Here is a 20976-nt window from a genome sequence, read left to right on the forward strand (position 1 = left end):
CACTCTCCCTATTCTAATCCATTAGCAAGCCCAGTCAACTCTACTTCTAAAGCAGTGGGTCTCAGTCAGAGGTGATTTTAACCCTCATAGTCATTTGGCAATGTATAGAGACATTTTTGATGGTCACAATTGGGGTTGCAGCTGGTGTATATGGATAGAGGCTAGGAAAGATGTGAAACACCTTACAATGTATAGGACAGTCACCTCAACAAAGAATTATCCAGCTTTAGTGTGAAGAGTGCTGAGGTTGAGGAACCCTGATTTAGAGGATACTGAGTTCATTCACAGCTCTCTGTCTTCCCCACTCCTGTGCTAGTGTAAGGCACTGTTGTCACTCCCTGGACTGGTCTTCCTGCTTCCTTTACCTCCCTCTGTGCCTCCCTCTGTGCTCTCAGAGCATTTCTCACAGGGCAGCTGAGTGGTCTTTTATAAAGGATAAATCAGGCCAGGTACAGTGGCTCACACTTGTAATCCCAGCATTTTGGGAGGCTAAGGTAAGAGGACCACTTGAGCCGAGGAATTCAAGACCAGCCTGGGAAACATAGTGAGACATTGTCTCTACAGAAAATGAGAAAATTAGCTGGTCAGTAATTCATGCCTGTAGTTCCAGCTACTCAGGAGGCTGGGGCACACTTGAGCATGAGAGGTTGAGGCAGCAGTGAGCCATGATTGTACCACTGCACACAAACTTGAGCAACAGAGTGAAACCCTGTCTCAGAAAAAAAAAAAAAAAAGATAAGGTCACTCCCCTGTAATGACTTCTCATCACAGCTAGAATTCTGAACTCAAACTCCTTAGCCAGGCTGAAGAAGCCCTACCTGACCTGGCTCCTGCTGACCTCTCTGATTCATTGTACCCTCCCCTGCCATCCCTGGGCACTCTGCTTCAGCCCCACTCCACAACCCTTCTTTCTGTTTCAAGTTCTTCCCAGGCTTTAGGTATGTTCTTGAGATGTTGCCTCTGCCTGGCTGCTGTCCCCTCTTACCCTTGGTTGGCTGACTTCTTGTCTTCTAAACCTCTCTGGAACTGCTTCTGCCTTAGATATTCCTTTCCTCAACACCCAAACTACTTGTACGGTTGCCGACTATCACATCTCCGTACATCACCACCTAGCACTTAGCACTGCCTGATTTGTTTTTTGTTTTTTCTTTTTCATCCTCCCCTGACTAGAGCACCATTGAGAGTGAGACCTCCCCTGCCTTGTGAAAGGCTCTATCCACCCATGCTTAGCACAATGCCTAGCACATAGCCAGTTATCAATAGACAGTGATGGGAATAGGAGGGATAGTAATAGTTTACACTTATGTAATGGAGACTAAAAAGTCTAAGTGCTTTACATTTAATCTCCAAAGTAGTTTTGCGAGATGGGTATCATGATTGGCATCTTCATTTTACAGATAAGGAAATGGAGGCATCAGAAGTTATATAACTCAGCTGGGTGAGGTGGCTCATGCCTGTAATCCCAGCACTTTGGGAGGCCAAGGCAGGTGGATCACGAGGTCAGGTGATTGAGACCATCCTGGGTAACACTGTGACATTCCATCTCTACTAAAAATACAAAAAACTAGCTGGGCATGGTGGTGGGCACCTGTAATCCCAGCTACTCGGGAGGCTGAGACAGGAGAATGGCGTGAACCCGGGAGGCGGAGCTTGCAGTGAGCTGAGATTGCGCCACTGCACTCCAGCCTGGGCGACAGAGCAAGACTCTGTCTCAAAAAAAAAAAAAAAAAAAAAGTTATATAACTCACAATCAAAGATCATGTAGCCATGTAGCTAGAAAGTTGCAGAGCTGGGGTTTAACTTAAGTGGTCCAACTCCAGAGTTGTTGCTCTTAATCACCCCACCACAGTGCTTGTTGAGGAAATGAATGTGGAATTTGAATGATGAATTCACACTCATCCTTCCTTAGGGTAGCCTTTGTAGGATTGGGATTCAGTCTGATCTGGGTTCAAATTTTGTAACTGACTCACATTTTATGATTTACTTGCTTGTGTGATGGGGTTATGGTGTGGGAGCACCAAAAATCTCTTGTCTTATAAAGAGTTCACTTCTAATGTTCTGGATACTTCTCTCCATCCTCACTATTGATCATGCTTCCTTTGTTGTTTTGGTCACAAGGAAACTCAACTAAAATTTGAGCCCTGATACTAGTAATCATATAATAGTTTGTGGAATGCTTTTGTCTATTACCTTTCTTTTCTGCTTTTCCTTATAACATCCCATTTTCCACATTTTAAACTATTTATTTATCTCAGCCAACTCAATTTATGAAAATATGAATTTATAACAGATAAATATGTATATAAAAGTGTGTCCCTGGACAGGTTACCTAACCACTGTGATGCTTCCTGTCTTCTGTGCAGTGTTGGTAATCATTCCTGCCTCACAGTTTTTTGGTGGAGCCTAAGTGGGGTAAAGTCCACGAAAGCCCAGAACACACAATAAACATTTAGTAAGAGTGTCTTCTTCCTCTTCCTCATTTACGGTAAAGATGAGGAAATCTTTTTTTTTCCCCTGAGACAGAGTCTCGCTCTGTTGCCCAGGCTGTGATGCAGTGGTGCAATCTCGGCTCACTGCAACCTCCGCCTGCTGAGTTCCAGTGATTCTTCTGCCTCAGCCTCCTGAGTAGCTGGGACTGCAGGCACGTGGCACTACGTCTGGCTAATTTTTGTATTTTTTTAGTAGAGACGGGGTTTCACCATGTTGGTCAGGCTGGTCTCGAACTTCTGACCTCAAGTGATCTGCCTGCCTTGGCCTCCCAAAGCGCTGGGATTACAGGTGTGAGCCACTGTGCCTGGCCAAGCATGAAGCAATCTTGTGCTGGTACCTGGCATAGTGGAGGTGATAGAAGGTGGTTTAATATGTCTTACTGAGCTGCTAAGCAGCAGCTGCATGTCTTATTGAGCTGCTAATTGATACTACTAACTGGGGAGCTCCATTACAAAAACCCACAATAAATGATAGGCTGTCATCATGCCCTGTTTTGGGCGGCTCTTTTCACTATAATAAATTGGTTTTTGAGCAGCAGAAAGATAATAGGTTTAGTAAGTAGAAAAGACTCGACCACAGGGGGCTTGTGCATAAAGCTCAGCCTGGAAAATGGAAAGCATTTATCAGTAAGACCCACAGAAACTTTTATTACTATGGCAACTGGGTCTTTGGTAAGTCTCTCTTTAGCTAGATTATAATGTAGTAGTGAGGAATATCAACTGTATGTTTCAATTGCTTATTAGCTCATAAAATTGCCAGTTTGCATATTAATTGTTACTGGATAAAATAGCCCTATTTTTAGGTGACCCAGTCACCCATTTTCTGATACCAAGCCACTTTGGGAACTTAAAAAAAAAAAAACAGTAGTTATAGTAATAAAAACTCTTAGCCTTAGACAGGCATCTTCTCATTTAATCCTCCCAGCTACTCTGTAAGGTCAGTTTCATCTCCCATTTTACAGATGAGAGAGGAAAAGCCCAGGGCAGTTAGGTAACTTGTCCAAGGTCACGGTTCTGGTAAGGTGTAGATCCAGGATTTGAATCCATGTCTGTTTGATTTCTATGATAAAAATAACTTTATAGTCTTAACCATTAATATGGGCTATAGCCCATATGATATAGAATATAAAGTTTCTGTAAATCTGAAAAGGCAAAAAATCCAAGAGTATTGACCTTTCCCTAGTACAGGGTTGGTTCTTCAACCTCAAAAGTATTGACATTTTGGGGCCAGGTAAGTCTTTCTTTTTGTTACTGAAACACCAGGGGTTCGGTCTAGGTCCTGTTACTCGACACACAGAAAGCCAATCACTGACACGACGATTATTGCCAAGGAAGAAGCCTTTAATTAGGTGCTGCAGCTTAGGAGATGGGAGCTCAGTCAGTCTCAAATCCATCTCCCTGACTGACATGGTTTGGCTGTGTCCCCACCCAAATCTCATCTTGAATTGTAGTTCCCATAATCCCCACGTCATGGGAGGGACCTGGTGGGAAGTAATTTAATCATGGGGGTGGTTACCTTCATGCTGTTCTCATGACAGTGAGTGAGTTCTCATGAAATCTGATGGTTTTATAAGGGGCTTTTCCCCCATTTGCTTGGCACTTCTCGCTGCCGCCATGTGAAGAAGCACGTGTTTGCTTACCCTTCCACCACGATTGTAAGTTTCCTGAGGCCTCCCCAGCCATGCTGAACTGTGAGTCAATTAAACCTCTTTCCTTTATAAATTACCCAGTCTTGGGTATGTCTTTAGGTGTATCTTTATTAGAAGGGACTAATACGTTGACCCACTAAAACTAGCTTTGTATAGCAGGGAAGAAATGTAACAATGTGTAAGAAAACAGGAACTGGGAAAGGGCAAGGAAACGATTATGATGAATAGAGAGTCTCTGCATTTCATTGTCTGGATGTGGTGATCTGGTGAGTTTCAGCTCTTTGATACTTTTTTGAGAGGCCTGAAAGTCCTTCCCTGAGGAAGGAACTGAAATAAAACAAATGTAAACTTCAAACTTAAGACCAGAAGGGTTATCCACACCCACCCCACTACATCCCCCAGTATTGCCTAACTTTGCCTGGGGAGGAATTGGCTAATTAGGACTTTCCTGGAAAAAAGCAACTCTTTCATTTCTGATGTCACCAGTCTTCTTAGATCTCAGGATTTACCAGAAAGTTTTGTTCTTTATTTGGTTATGTTCAGAGAGCTGTGCAATTTATTGCGACTATCTAATTTTAGAACATTTTAATCACCCCAGGAAGAAACCATGTACCCATTAGCAGTCATTCCCCATTCTTCCCTCTCTTAGTCCCTGGGAACCACTAATCCACTTTTTGTCTCTACAGATTTGCCTATTCTGGACATTTCATATAATGGAATCATACAGTATGTGGCCTTTTGTGTCTAGCTTCTTTGACTTAGAATAATGTTTTCAAGGTTCATCTGTGTTGTATCATGTATCAGTACTTCATTCCATTATATGGAATATAGGAGTCCAGTTTCGTTCTTTTATATGTGAATTTCCAGTTGTTTCAGCCATTTGTTGAAAAGACTATCCAGTGAATTTTCTTGGCACTCTTGTCAAAAATCAATTGACTAGAAAAGTAAAGGTTTGTTTCTAGACACTCAATTTTATTTTATTGATCCATATGTGTACCCTTATGCCAATAACCACAGTGTCTTAATTACTCTAGCTTTGTGTAGTACATTTTTAAATTGAGAACTGTTAGTCCTCTAATTTTGTTCTTCTTTTTCAATATGGTTTTGGCTATTCAGAGTCCCTTGAATCTCCATATGAATTTATGATCAGCTTGTCCATTCTGCCAAGAAGCTAGCTGAGATTTTAGTATAAGGGTTCCATAGACTCTGTGGATCAATTTGGGGAGTATTGCCATCTTACCCAATTTTAAGTCTTTCAATTTTTGAACATGGTTTGGCTTTCTGTTTACTTAGGTCTTCTTTATTTCAGTGATGTGTTGTAGTTTTCAGTGTACAAGTCTTACACTTCTTTTGTTAAAATTATTCCTAAGTATTTTATTATTTTTGATACTATTGGAAATGGAATTGTTTTCATAATTTCATTTTTGGATTGCTGATTGCTAGTGTATACAAATACAATTGATTTTGGTGTATCCACCTTGTCTCCTGCAACCTTGCTAAACTTGTTCGTTAGTTCTAATAGTTTTTTTTAAAAAATTTTTGAGACAGGATCTCACTCTGTTGCCCAGGCTAGAGTGCAGGAGTGCAGTGGTGTGATCACAGCTCACTGCAGCCTTGACCTCCCAGGCTCAAGTGATACTCCTGCCTCAGCCTCCCAAATAGCTGGACTACAGGTGCAGGCCACCACACCTGGCTAATTAATTTTTTTTTTTTTTTTTTTTTGTAGAGATGGGGTTTTGCCATGTTGCCCAGGCTGGTCTCCAGCTCCTGGGCTCAAGTGATCTGCCCTTCTTAGCCTCCCAAAGTGCTGGGATTACAGGCATGAGCTACCACTCTTGGCTAGTTCTAATAGTTTTTTTGTGTATGAGTTTGAAATCGTTCTTGTTTTCTAATGTAGGCATTTACAGCTATAACTTTCACTCTCAGCCTTGTTTTGGTATATTGTGCTTTTGTTTTCATTCATCTCAAATTATTTTTTAATTTTATTTTTGATCTTCCGACCCATTGGTTATTTAGGAGTGTGTTAATTTCCACATACTTGTGAGTTTCACAAATTTCCTTCTGTTGTTGATTTCTAATTTCATTCCATTTTGGTTGGAGAACATATGTTATATGATTGCATTCCTTTTAACTGTATTGAGGTTTGTTTTATGTCCTAACATTTGGTCTGTCCTGGAGAATGTTTCATGTATGCTTGGGAAGAATGTGTTCTGTGGTTGTTGGGTAGCATGTCCTGTAGACTTCTATTAGGTCCACTTTGTGGTGGTGTTCATGCCTTCTGTTTTCTTGTTGATCTTCAGCCTAGTTATTCTATCCATTATTGAAGATGGAGTACTGAAGTTTCTAACTATCATTGTTTAACTGACTATTTCTTCCTTTAATTCTGTCAGTTTTTGCTTCAAGAATCTTGGGGCTCTGTTTTTAAGTACATGTAATTATGTCTTCCTGATAGAAGACATTGGCTATTTTATCATAAAAGTTCTACTTTGACTCTAGGAACTGAACTTTTTTTTGTCTTAAATTCGATTTTGTCTGATATTAGTATAGCCACTTATACTCTCCTGATTTCAAATATTTTTTTAAGCCTCCCAGGCTATTCTAATATGCAGCCAGGATTGAAGGCACTGCTTTTTTGGATAAGTTAGAAGCTGAGGATCAGTATTTTGTTGTTAAAGTTAGCTCATAGCTACCAAGAGATGATAGCCATGGGATTTTCTGATTCCTGTGACTGATGTAGAAGGCATTATAGAAATTTCAGGATGCCTTGGTGAAACCTTTCCTAGAGCAAGACTTGTGGTGCACTAACGTACTATTTTCCCTAAAGAGTTGTTTTCAAGTTACATCATGACACAGAGAATGTTTTCTTGTGCAGGCTGTGGGAACAGCCTGAAGGAGCCTCCCTCCCTCTCTGCCCTGTTGACACACTCACCTCTGATGTATCTGAATGGAAGTCTTCAGTTCCCGTGGGTGTTACAGTGGCTTATCTTCACATTGTAGGCCTTTATATCTGCCCTTTGCAGGTGTTTTGAGACAAAACCTGAGTTTTAGGGTTCTGCTGTTTATGTGGATCATGTGGGGAGGGCCAAGAAAACCTTTCAGAGATGCCTCTAGAGAGCTCATCAGAAATGAGCTTCCTCTTTGGAGTCCGAAGGCAAAGAATATGCCACGGAAGCGAGGATGTTTGAAGAAGGAAAACCTCAAGGTTTGCTAGGAGCCAAGGGGATGGGAGAGGGTGGAGGCTCTGAAAAGTAAACCCTTCTTCTTTTGGCAAAGATAACCCTCCTTGCCTAAGTGAGATGGAAAAGGGTCTAGAATGGAGTCCTCTCTGAGTTCATTCAGACTTGAAAACTGTCTGTGATTCTTACACTCTTCACTCATTTTCTTTTTTTTTTTTTTCTTACTTTTTTCTACTGCTTGTTAGGAGTCATCCCTTAGATATCACCTTTCATGCAGTTGGATGATACCTTTACTGAAAGACTCTTTTTTTAGGTGGAAACTATTCTGTTCTCCCTGAATCTCTGTGCTCACATCTGGTCTTAATCCCAGGGACTTGGATCCACTGTCAGGAAGTTTTTCCACCAAGTAGTGAAAAGCCTCCAGAGGCTCAGTTACCTAACCCACATTTATTTATTATCTTTTTAGATCTTTCCTCACCCCTCAAGATTTGTCTGTAGAAGCAGCGGTTGGGAATATCTTAGTTTCCTGCTTATAAATTCTCTAGAATTTTCATTCCAATGTATATGCACACAAAAACCTCTTTATCCACATATGTGTGTGCATTACAAATAGCCAAAATAAATAACCTTTAAAAACCCCTTTACATTATAATTTCCTAATCCCAAACTTGCTTGGTGGAAATTTTGCCTTTTTTTTCCTCGTCATTCTTCGTAATAAAAGTACTTTAAAGGTCGATGATAGCCACTTTGAATTCTGTTATGGTTTATAGTGTCTTTCTTTCTAAAAGTACGAAGAATATTATGGGCTTGTCTCTCTTCTGCTCCCTCAGGGCTGTTGGGGGGATGAGGAGATTTCCTTGACTTTCAATAGCCTCATGATATCTTTGTGAGTTCATATAAAAAGTTTCTTCAGAAAAAACAAATCTGACTCATCACTTTCCTTTAGAAAGATGTCTGTTGGCTTCCAGGATAATTCCAGACTCCTGTCTGCCTCGCTCCCAGACGCATCTCCTGCCGCATAGCCCATGTCCCAGGTGTCCTAACTTCTCCCAGATTTCTGTACAAGCCATAACCTGTTTCAACTCTGAGCTTCAGTTCATGCCATTCCTCTTGTCTGGAGTGTCCTTCCCTCTTTTTTTTCACTAACACACTCCTAATAATCTTTCATACCCAACTAAAATAGCACAGGTTTATGAAGTACTCCTTGGCTTCCCCAGGCTGAGTGGGTCCCACTCTTTCTGAGTTCCTTTTGCATTCTGGCCATTCCCCACGTATTAATTAAGCATCCACTGCTGGGCAGAAAGTGTCTGAAATGATAATAATAATAAATGGGAATAGTAATAATAGCTAATACTGTATAATAATGCTGGATAATCTGTAACACTCAATACTACATAACACTACATTTTATATTTTATAATACTATATTTTATAGTGTAATATCAAATAATAAGATGTAATGTATAAAACGATAGCAAATATAGTATTAACTATCATAGCTAATACTTTGTTCCAGAAAAAGTGCCAAGTAATTATTACATTGTCTTATTTAATCCCCTCAACAACTGAGCAAGGTTGGTAGTGTTCATCTCTCTATTTCCTGATAAGGAAATTGAGGCACAGAGTGGGTAACCAACTTACCATAAATCATATGGCCAATAAGTGGTAGACACAACATTTAAACCCAGGCAGGCTGACATCTAACTGCTTAACTGCTGTAATTAACTTTTTTTTGAGACAGGATCTTGCTCTGTCACCCACGCTAGAGTGCATTGGTGTAATCTCAGCTCACTGCAGCCTCTGCCTCCTGGGCTGAAGCGATCCTCCCACCCCAGCCTCCAGAATAGCTAGGACTACAGGCGTGTGCCTGGCTAAATTTTTTTTTGTATTTTTTTTGTAGAGATAAGGTTTCACCATGTTGCTCAGGCTGGTCTTGAACTCTGAGTTCAAGCAATCCACTCGTCTTGGCCTCCCAAAGTGCTGAGATTACATGTGAGAGCCACCACAGCTAGCCATAATTAACTGTTGAAAGGCAAATGTTGATACAGCTTCTGTTGTGCTTACCACATCTCATTGCAATCATCTGCTTATTGTCTCTTTTTCGTTCTCTTTCTCTTGGCCAGGTGTTTTTTTTAGCTAAGGGCCTCTTGCTAGCAGGAATCATTCTTGCAGCCCCCACACTTGGTTCTGTGTGTGGCATAAAGTGAGTTTGAGAATTAATGTTGGTGGAATGAATAACTGAAAGAGCAAAGCCTTAGACTGTCTAAACATTACATTGATTTCCACCTCATTTTTCTCAGGACTAGCCGTCTATGTGTAAAGCAATTTGTAGAACCATGAACTATGTTAGGGAAGGGAGGGCATTACTGAATCTCTACCAGATAGCAAGCATTTTGCTGTATTCTCTACATGCAAAATCTCATTTTATTTTCACAACAGCTTGGGAGTTCTATACCATCTTTATCTTCCTTTTACAGATGGGGACGCTGAGGCTGAGGGAAGTTAAGTGATTCATCCAAGATCTCAGTGATTACGTGGTGGAACTGAGGTGGAAACCTGGATGCTTCTTTTCTTTTCTTTTTGACAGAGTCTCACTCTGTCACCCAGGCTGGAGTGCAGTGGCGCAATCTCAGCTCACTGCAATCACCGCCTCTTGGGTTCAAGCGATTCTCCTGCCTCAACCTCCCGAGTAGCTGGGACTACAGGCATGTGCCACCACACCTGGCTAATTTTTTGTATTTTTAGTAGAGATGGGGTTTCACCGTGTTAGCCAGGATGGTCTCGATCTCCTGATCTCGTGATCCACCCACCTCAGCCTCCCCAAGTGCTGGGATTACAGGCGTGAGCCACCGCGCCCAGCCCAGAAACCTAGATGCTTCTTATCTCTGAGTCCTTCTGACCTCTTAACCCTAGGCTGTAGACCTCCTCTTCTCAGCATAAAAGAGAAGAGTTTTGGAAAGAATTTTCTACGAGAGAATCTTGTGGCAAAGCTGTTTCAACTGGATGCCTTCTTTCTGTATTTATATTCCAGTTAGCGTATGGTCTGTTGCTCTTTCACTCCCCAGTGTGTACGTCTGAAACAGCCAATATGTTATTTTAGGAAGAAATAATACATTGCAATATCTGATCAATAAAACTTGGAGTCTACTCCAGTAGTCATGTGGAGCTGAACTGTTGCAACAAGCAAAGGACTTTTTGCTCAAGCCATAAATTTTGCAAAGGCTAGAATTCCAGGAGTGAGTTTGCTTTCTGGGCTGTTTGTCATCTGCCTTGGGACCACAATAAAGGAGCTCCCCCGTTTAGCCCCCAGATTTCCTGGAGAATCCAGGCAGATTACTTTTTAGAAGTCAGTTATTTTTACAAGGCCTTCTTTGCTTTCTTGTCCCCAACCATGAAGTCATTTTCAAAGGAACCACAGTTTGACCTTTTACCAAATGAGCTAGAGGACTGAATATATTAATAGCAGCAACATCAGATCGACCGCTTTTTGCAGTTTTTAGCTAGCAATGGCCACATGTCGGTTTTCACTTTGGGGAGCTGTGCATGTTGATTCAAATTATGTGAATTTTATACTTTGATTCTTTTCTAACATATACTTTTGATTAGCCCTTGTCATTCTCACATCTTTACAGTGAGCTGAATTGTAACTGGTTCATAGCACATTTTTTTATGAGAAATAGGGCTTTTTTTTTTTTAATTAATGAAAAGATGCCAGGTACTTTTGCGTATATGAGAAGCTTGTTCATACTGACCTCCTTTCAGTTGCTCCTTTACCACATTGTTCTGCCTCCAGGCCTTTACACAGGCGGCTTGGAACATCTTTGATTCCACAATTCCACAAACACTAAAATTTCAAATGTGGCCTAGGTGTCTTCTATGTATTCTCATTCTTTGCAGGTGCGACACAGAGTTTGTGAATTAATATTAGTGGAATGAAAAACGGAATGAGTAAGGCCTCATGCTGTAAATATTACATTGCTTTTCCGCCTAGACCGTGGCCGACCTCAGCTGAAACCGACCTTCCCCTGAGAAGCCTGTTCTGATGCCAGCCTCGTTCCTAGTTTGAGATTAAGCATCCTATAGCTCCCCAATCAGGGCACTATTTGCATTACATGCAGAGGCTCCTTTACCTGTCTCTGTCTTCCACTATCACAGAGAGAGCCTGTCAGCTTCGCTTTTGAATCCCCACACAACTGACTCAGCACCAGACAGGTAATAGAATGCTTAGGAATATTTTGATATTGGCCAAACAGGGGCAGATTCTTTATTGCCTCTTTAATCCTATTTTCTGTTGGGCACAGGTAAATGTAAATCCTTACAAAGTAGACAGAACTGAGTAAGTTTCAAAGCTCTAAAAAGGGCCTTTTTGCTTGAACAAAAACCGTTTGTATATGAGCCCACAGCTTTTGTGTGTGAAGCAGAATTTGTATCTTGCACACAAATGGGGAAGAAGAGAGCAGTGTTGAAATGGGGAAAGATCATAAAGAGGCCAGTTGTTTCCTTGTGGATATTTATCTCATGGTAACTCCTCTATCTGGGGTGTATTAGACTTGGCTTGAAGGAGTCATGGCCAGAGTAGGTCCCTCATTGGCTGTGTAGCCATGATTCTTGGAGCGGCAATAACATCAGGAAGAAAGGAATCATGAGGCCATTTGCTCTGTGGGTATAAGAAGGTGGTAGAATCGGTCAGAGCAGGATGTTCACATTTTAGTGCCCATTGAGATCCTTAGTGTGCTTAGTAAAAATGCAGATTCCCCTAGGGGAGAGACTCAGGAATCTGCATATTCACAAGCGTCCCTGGGGATCCTGCTGCAGGTGGATCACTGACTTGTTCTCTGCAACACTGCCCCAGAGGATGGGGAATTCTGGAGAAATACTGGCAAGTAGGACAGTCCTAAGAGCGAGAGCCTGCCCTTGCCCTTTGTCAAGGTCCTTAGTCAAAGGAGACCATGTAGCCCAGGAAAGTCAACTCAAGGAGCATCTCACAGAAGGAGGATGCTGCATTTTGCCATGATTCCTGCAACCCAGAGAAACCAATTCCAGCAAAGATCGATGCCCTGTACCCGGTGCAAATTTAGAATGATAAAAAGAAGAGTCATGGTTTCCTTGACCAGACAGGAGTGTCCCCTACTTTGCAGAATAATGAAATACACAGATGTTAAAATGAAAAGAGACAGAGATGGATGGAGAATAATAGAGCGCAGCAGCAGTTAAGGAGCAACTTAACAAAAATGCAGAGGAACCATGGGATGATCTCAGCCTTTGTGCTTCTAGGAGCGTCATTGCCAACTTGAGAGAATCAGCCCATCGCAGACAATCCTAGGCTGGAGGCTTTTCTCATAGCTGTCTGTGGCCAGAAGACAATACCAGTTCCTCAGGGAGGAGGCAGTCAACAGTCAAAAGGATACCAAAATGTAAAGCATGCATGTCCTTTGACCTAGCAGTTATACTTTCACGAGATAATATACAAGTGGGAAAAATAATATATGTATCTGGCTGTGCATTGTTTATTGAAAACACCCCAAATGTCCATCAGTAACGGGATTTATGGATACATAGACACAGTAAAGTTACCCTTAGCCATTAAAAATGATGATGTGTACCAGTAGTTATTGACAAGAAAAGATGTCACAACATATTATGTAGCAAAAACAGGTTTCAGGATAGCATATATTTTAAGGGTGCATTTAAGTAAAATTGCATGCTCGGATTTCTGCCTATTAATTCAGTCAGTAATTATTGAGTAGTCTGTGTGCCTGGCACTTCTCTGGGCATTGGAGATACACAGTGAACAAGACAGTGGCCCTTTGCTATTGGAAGTGTGGTACCTGGAGCCAGCAGCATCGCCTGGGAGCTTGTTAGGAATGCAGGATCCCAGGCTCCACCCCAGACCCACTGCATTTTAACAAGGTCCTGGGGCAATCCATTTGCACACACTAGTTTTTGAGACCATGCTGTAAGAGCATGTTTACCAAAATGTCCACAGAATACTTCCCCACGTGGTGGCAATTTGTTATAAATTTTACATCTGTCTTTGTATGTTCCTCCATGGTTTGACTTTTTCACAGTGAGCTATGTCTTGTGTTTATAAAAGCAAGGGTGGTGATATTGTGGAACAGCTCCTCATTCGTTGGGCTCTCTCAGCCACATACTGGCAGGATCCTGGGGCAGGAGTGGGAGGTGAGCAGGGGTTGAAGGTGAGTAGCTGTTGCTCATTTGGCCAACCACAGAGGTCTAGAAGAGAGATCCTGGAGACCCACAGCTACAGCAGGAGCTGTTTCCATAGCCTGAGAGATGCAGCAGGTCTGATTAGCTGACTTCATGGCTGTTCTGGTGGAACAGAGAGGCTTCCACATTGCAGCCTCTGTCCAGCTCTTTTGTATGATTGCTGCCTGGGAAGAGTCTGGGGAGGTGGCCAGAGACAGCAAGCCCATGCTGAAGTTTCCATCATCCTCCAGGACCTTGAGCAGCCCTGAGCCCTTCCCAGACAGATTGGGAGCTACAGGCATGATGTCTGGGGAAGAGCCTTCTATACAAGGCCTGGACAGTTCTGCTCCTGTGGGAGAAGGGCTTTTTCTTGGGAGTCTCTCCTGTACCTGTCCCAGATGAGGGGTTTGATCAGGTATGGCTCTAGGGTACCCTGCCTAAAGTGTAGTGTAGTTAAAAGAAGCTGGACTCTAGAGCAGAAGAACTGGACTATAGACCAGTCTGACCCTAAATAGCTATGTGACTTTGGGCAAGTCCAGTTGCCTCTTTGGGCCTCAGTTTTGTCATCTGTGGAACGTGAGAATTAGTTACTGAGTGCACCTATGTGGACTGCCTGTGTGCCCCAGCTGTTACACGAGTCTTTGTCCTTAGGATATCACAACCTGGAGACACTGGAATGCCTCCTGGCCCCCTCTAGTTCTCACGTGGACCCCAAATATGGGTCCCAGGACTGTCTCTGATTTATGACCTGGTTGTCACTGGCTTCTGGTGAAATGGGAAAAATAAGGACATCTAGTGAACATGTAGCTATAAAGTTTCTACCCTTTCAGGGTGGAGAGTTCTTTACTCTGAGACTTTGCCTTCCTGTATTTCGGATGCTAAGGCAGCTGTTTATTTAGGGTATTAGTAAGTAGAGCTCATTGCTGGTGTTTTTGTAAGTCTTTGTGTAAAATAAAAAGTTGGCAATTGTATTAGTCTTTCCTCCACTCTCATCTACTTTTTTTATTTTTTATTTTGCTGATCTGTGAATTCCAGGACTGTGGGAAGTAGGCTCTAAAAAGTGGGGACATGACTTAGATCAGGAAATAAACCCAACTCACAGGAGACCCTTGGTCCCCATCTTCCTGCTAATGAAAGCTGCCGCTTTGAAAAGTTTGTGGACCAGATCCTTGAGAAGTGGTGAATTCAAGTATTCAATGGAGTAGAGTCACCCTGTCTGCCTTTGTCAGGGCTGCTTTAAAGACAGGCAGGGTCAGTCTTTCACCTTCTGTCGGGCGCTGCTGAGTTCTACGAGGAAATCTCCCCTTTGTGGAAATAGGGGGTGAGAGAGGGACAGTCGGGGCCTTGCCCAGGACCCCCCTTCCCCACAGCCCTGTAGCAAGTCATGCAGGCAGGGAGCAGCTGACAGCTGTTGTCTGGGATAGGCTTCTCTCTGCCCCTGCCAGGCACTCGGCTGGTTGCCTGTGATCTGCTTTGCAGGCATGTGATGATGCAAATGTAAATCATAACAGGACAGGCTTCCCTGACATAAACAGCAACTGAGCATGCTGACCAGGCAGGAAGTCTCATTAGTAATTCCTGAAAAGGGTGCAAGGGCAGGGCCAAAGAGCTGGTTAATTGAATGATGGCTAATTCGTTTATAATTATTCATATTTTCACTCTTTTCTCTTTCTCCCATAAAACCTAGTCCTCTGGAGCTGGGCTGGTCCTTAGAGAAATCTAAGGAGGCGGCAGAGCAGCTGTGCCATGGGAAAGATTTGAACCTTGACTTTGTTTATTAGCAGTGTCAAGTTACTTCACTTCTGGACCTCAGTTTTCTTATCTGTAAAATGTTTTTTTTGTGTGTGTGAGAACTTAAAGAAAAAGATATCTGTGAAACAGAGCGCAATGCTTAGCTCATATTAAGCATTCAGAAAATGCTAGCCATGTTCTCCGGCCTCACTCTTTCCTTTTATAGGTTCATTTGGACATTATGCAAATATTTATGAGGCACATGGTGTAGGCACTGTATGGTGCAGCTCCTTTAAAAATGGTAAATGAAAGTATGCAAATGAGCGTACGTTCTTGGAGGCTGGAAGGCAGAGGCGTTAGCCAAACAGCTTAATACAAAACTGGGGAGACCAAGTAGTGATGTGTCCTGTGAAGGGAAAGAAAAGAAGGCTGAGGGTTAGAGCGACTAAGGGTGGGAGTGTAGGTTCTACTGCAGATAGTGCAATGATTCAAGAGACTGAGTAAGATGGAGGAGTGAGCCATGCTGAGCCCTGGGAAAAAGACATTCCAGGCAGTGGGAACAGAGAGTGCAAAGGCCCTGAGGTGGGAATATGCTGGCTGGGCTTGAGAAGGAACAAGGAAGCCTGTGTAGTTAAGATTTCCAAGATGGGAAGATCTTCATGGCCTTCATGAGAAAGCCTGGAATTGGAGAGCAGCATGATGACTCTAGGTTTTATTCTAACGTAATGGGAAGGCAGTGACGTTCTTACTAGAGGAGTGATGTGCTGAGGCTTGAGGAAACACTCTCAGCGTAGATGGCAAAGCCTATAAGCATTCTTCCCTCATCCCTCAAAAGGTGATCAGAACCAGACTGGCTGATCAAGGACCGTGTGTCAGAAGCTTGAACCTGTCTGGAAGGACACGATGGCTGGAGAGCTGGCAGAGGGGCAAACCTGACCCTGGAAAATGGAACTCCTCTGCTTTTCTGTTACTGTAGACTTTCCCAGCAGAAGCTAAAATGCCCATCTGTGCAGAAAAAGCATTAACGCAGCAGGCCTGACTGCTGCCCTTTGAAAAGTCTGCTTGGAACATTGGCCCTTGGCTGGCAGCTGGGAACCTAAATTTCAGTAGGTTTCCCATTACCCAACTGTTAATGGTGGCTCACTGTGCCTAAACTGGCTGTGCAGACAGTGTAGTTGATGCTGTTTTTCTGCTGGAAGTCTGGAAATTTGGTGTACCGAGAATGCCTGTGTGACCAGCCTCTCATAAAAACCGTGAGCACTGAGCCTCTAATGAGCTGCCCTGGTGGATGACATTTCACACATGTTGTCAACAACTTGTTGCTGGAGGAATTAAGCACATCCTGTGTGTCTACCCTGGAAGAATCCTTGTGAAAGCTTGAGCCTGGTTTCCTGTGACTTCATTTCATATGCCTTTCACTGTAAGAAATCTTAGCTTTGATTATATGCCAAGTCCTGGGAGTTAGCCTAGTGAATCATTGAATCTGTGTGGGCTTGGGGACCCCTGACACAGCATCTTATATGAAGGGACTGTAGTGTTGGTGTATCTCATTACTGATGATGTTGACCATGGTCCCTTGGCTGAGGTGGTATCTACCAAGTTTCTCCACTGTCAAGTTACTATTTTTCTCTTTGTAATTAATAACATATTGCGGAAGATACTTTGACACTGTGCATATCCTATTTCTCCTCAAGTGTTTATTTTCTAATTTTAGCATCCATTGCCAGATCTTGCCTGTAACAGTTATTACAATAGTGTCTGCTTCGTGGTGACTTTCTGTTTCCTGCACCTCTTCTACATTTATTAATGAGAAGTCTTCAATAAGGAAGAACTTTCCTTTCTCCCCTTTTTACTTACTTATTCAACAATTTTTGGTATCAGTCTCAGGTACTAGATCCTTATTTTGTTGGCCTCAGATATTTATTTTATTCTCTGTGTCATAATCTGATACCGTTGTTGATTTTGTTGCTTGGATGGTTCTAGCTTTGGCTATTGGGAACTTCAGGTTAACTTCTGTGTCCTTTTGACATGCCCCCATGATATTTGGACACTTATTTACTTTATTTTGACACTTCTGGCAACAGAAGATACTCTGGGTTCATCTTGTTTGTATATTCTTCCTGGAATCAACTATTTCTCCAAGGAGGTTGGTTCTCTTTGCTGGATAATGGTATTTAGAAACCAAGATCTGGGTGCTAGGTGTGCTTATTGCTGTTGAGATGTACTGCTTCTAGTCTTCTCTCAGCAGACAGAGCTAGGAAATGTATGTATGTGCATTATCCCTTACATACACACAAGTCAATATTTATTTTTGTCTGTCTGTCCATCCGTCCATCCATCCATCCATCCATCCATCCATCCATCCATCCATCCTGTCTGTCTAATTTTTAAAGACCTTGAGTTCATACTGGTGACCTCCAATTCCTTCAAATTTCCATTGGAAATTTTGGTTCAGTTTCAATGAACCAAAGCCTCAGGATTCACTTTAGCCTTCTCACTGTCTTTTTTTTTTTGAGATGAGTCTCTCTCTGTCGCCCAGGCTGGAGTGCAGTGGCACAATCTCAGCTCACTGCAACCTCCACCTCCCGGGTTCAAGCAGTTCTCTGCCTCAGCCTCCTGAGTGGCTGGGACTACAGGTGCCCGCCACCACGCCCGGCTAATTTTTTTGTATATGTAGTAGAGACGAGGTTTCACCATCTTGGCCAGGCTGGTCTTGAACTCCTGACCTTGTGATCCACCCACCTCGGCCTCCCAAAGTGCTGGGATTACAGGCGTCAGCCAATACGCCTGGCCTAGCCTTCCCACTTTCTTTATTTGCAACTTCTTTCTCTGACAGAAATCTTACAATATATTTACATATTTGTTCACCCCTAGTGCACCCAGAAGACAGTTTCAGAATTGATGACCCATACCCTTGGGAGAAACAAATATAACTAGTGTACAGTATTGTAGATTTTTTTTTTCTTTAGCTTTATGGAATCTAGTCAACATACTGTTTTCCTGAGTTACTTAGGCTGGTTCTTTTCTTCCCCATCCCCTTCAGTGTGGTGGTGTTATTTACTAGTAATACAGTTATGTTTACTTGTTATTGTTTATATTTCATTTTGAGTTTTCCCCACATGTGATTGATTTTAAGTGTTTATTTTTGGGGTATATAAAATACTACCGTAGTTCTAAGATATACACTGCTCTGAGTATATTTACACAAGTATATGTTAAGTCAGATAGATATACTCGGAGAAATGTGTAACCTTCTCATCCTGTTATCTTGTCTGATATCAGTTCCCCATGTTTTTTCACTCCTTTCCCACTCACACCCTGTAGATAACCAATCTCTTTAGTTTCTGGTTTATCCTCCTGTATTTCTTTTGCACAGATAAGCCAATACATGTATGTTTTCTTATACCCCTTCTCTTCTTATATGGAGGGCAGCAAAGTACTGTTACGGGATCTTTGGGGTATCACTTTGCCAACTGGAAATTTCTGTGGCCAGTGACACCTTTGCCCAAGTTTTGCTCTGGCCTGCTGGGCTTCTCTGCCTACTTGACCTGGCAGGCTGCGTTCGGCTCCCACTACCAGCCTAGATCCCATACCTGCCAAGGGCAAGCCAGTTGCAGAACAGTGAGGGTTGTGTGAGCGAGCGTGGAGTTCAGCCACTGCACAGCCAGGTATGCCAGCTGTGGTGGGGCAGGCAGCTCCAGGCACCAGCATGGGTGCCAGCTCCCTGCAAGGCTGCAGGTGGACCAGGCATACCTTAAGCAGCTTCCATGGCTGACACTGGGGAATGCAGTGTGGTGCCCAGAACCTTGGAGACTTCAGCAACCACAGAGCCCTAAAGAGTGTATCACAAACCTGGCTTGGGGTTGCTCCTAGGTCTGGGCTCCCCAAAGGGCCACAGCTCTTCTCTTCCTTCTTCTCTCCTCTTGTCTGCTGCGACATGGTGGGCAAACAGCATGTTTCAGCCCTGTTTGTGTTATAGCTCTTTTAGCCTTGCCATTCAGTGAGTCCCTAGTTCTTGTCCTGCATCCGGGAAGAATGAGGTACGCAGACAAGTGGAGGGTGAGCAAGACAAAGGGGAACTTTATTGAGTAATAGAACAGCTCAGAGGAGACTCACAGTGGGCAGCTCCTCTCCGTAGCCAGGGTATCTTGATGAGTGTTCAGCTCTCAGCAGAGAGGGTAGCTCCTCTCTGCAGCTTGTCCTGTTGTCTCCTCAAGTCTGGCTGAGTCCGGAGTTTTTATGAGCCTCAGAGGGGAGGAAGTGCATGCTGATTAATCCATGGGCAGGCCTGGAAAAGTTCCCACTCCAGTCTGCGGGACCCACAGCCTGGCCCTCAGGCCTCAGGCCTTCCCTGGCTTGAAGATTGGGCTTCACCTGGGACCTACCCCTTCTGCCTAGGAGCATGTCTGCCTCCTGCTGCCTTTCATGGTGCCCAGGTTTGTACCAACGGGCACCTGCAGGGCAGTGCCAAGCTGTCTTCAGCACCCCCTTGGTCTCCCTCCCATGTTTGTCTTCACCCAAAGTCCGGAGGCGGCTGAAGTGGCAGGGGACTTGTGTGTCAGTGCTGCCCTGAGCGTGCACACATCCGGCTGGGTTGCAATAGTTCCCAGGCTCATCCTCAACTTTGCTCCATGATCTGAGTGGGTGCTGACAGCAGGGAGAGGCCAGGGAGCTGGAGCAGACACCTCTGAGCCTGTGGGAGTAAGGGGGGCCCAGGGAGTGCAGAGATGTCTGCATCTGCAGCTGCAATTTGGGTGGCTGCAGCCATGCCCAGAAGGGTGGGACTCCTGCCTGCTCCATGCTTCTGCTGACACTGTAGAGTGTGGCACTGCCCTGGGCCCAGCTCTGCCTCAGTGCCCCTCTCTGCCTGCCTCTCCATGACCGACCACACTGCTTCCCTACCAGCGGACGATTCAGCTTGGCCCTGTCACAGTGGCTCCCAGGGTGGCGGGCAAGGTGCAGGTGGTACGGCAGCCCCAGTCAACCCCACACAAATGAACCTGACGCTTCCAGGGCCAGTCCCATAAGTCCCAGCTGTGCCATCAGCTGGGTGCTCGCAGGCCCCTGGGATACAGCGGAGAGCGAGGTTAAGACTGTGGCAGAGGCTTCAGGTCTGGGAGCGGATCCTACCAGGCCGTGTGAGGGTGGGGTTTTTGGCTCCCTCAGGGACGCAGGGCACAGGGGACCTACTGCCGCCACTGCTGCTCCTGCAGCCACTCCTGCTGCCACAGCTCACGCTTCCTTACTGCAGCTGGTGTGATGGCAGCGGCCACTCTGAACAGCCCACTGCTGCCATCAGTACTATAGATACTCTTTTCTACTTTACTTTTTTGACTTATCAGTATGTCCTAGAAATCACTTCATACCAGTTTATAGAGACCTTTCATAATAAGCTTTCTAAACTTTGGTCATCAGAAAAAAATTTCTGTCAGCCCAAGGATCAGTTTTTAAATTCTATGAACTTAGTGATGATGAGGAGGATGAGGATGAGGATGAGGATGATGATAAATAGCATAAGCATTACCATTAATTGAGCATCTACTGTATTCTATGCTCTATACTGTTTTGTATAGATTATCTCACTTAATCTTTGCTAGAGCCCAAGGTAGTAGATATCACCTCCAATTTACTGATAAGTGCTGTGGATACAACTGGTTGGGGCTGATGTTGTGGGTGGTGAAAGAATACCGAGACAGTCATAGGTAAAGAAAGGCAGATTTGTTA

At 43.7% G+C, this 20976-nt stretch overlaps 1 protein-coding gene and 1 long non-coding RNA gene across 4 annotated transcripts in view; one reads left to right on the forward strand and one right to left on the reverse strand.

The window, feature by feature from the left end:
* LDLRAD3 (low density lipoprotein receptor class A domain containing 3) overlaps positions 1 to 20976 on the forward strand; it is a 288075-nt gene that overhangs the window by 114579 nt on the left and 152520 nt on the right. The window lies entirely within an intron of this gene.
* On the reverse strand, positions 4643 to 19261 carry LOC101928510 (uncharacterized). Its single transcript, NR_135064.1, has 2 exons — positions 19105 to 19261; positions 4643 to 8621 (listed from the first exon to the last, which is right to left on the reverse strand). It is a non-coding gene; the product is annotated as an uncharacterized LOC101928510 (long non-coding RNA).

This window comes from Homo sapiens, chromosome 11 (genome assembly GCF_000001405.40).
Source record: "Homo sapiens chromosome 11, GRCh38.p14 Primary Assembly".
Classification (NCBI taxonomy): Eukaryota; Metazoa; Chordata; class Mammalia; order Primates; family Hominidae; genus Homo; species Homo sapiens.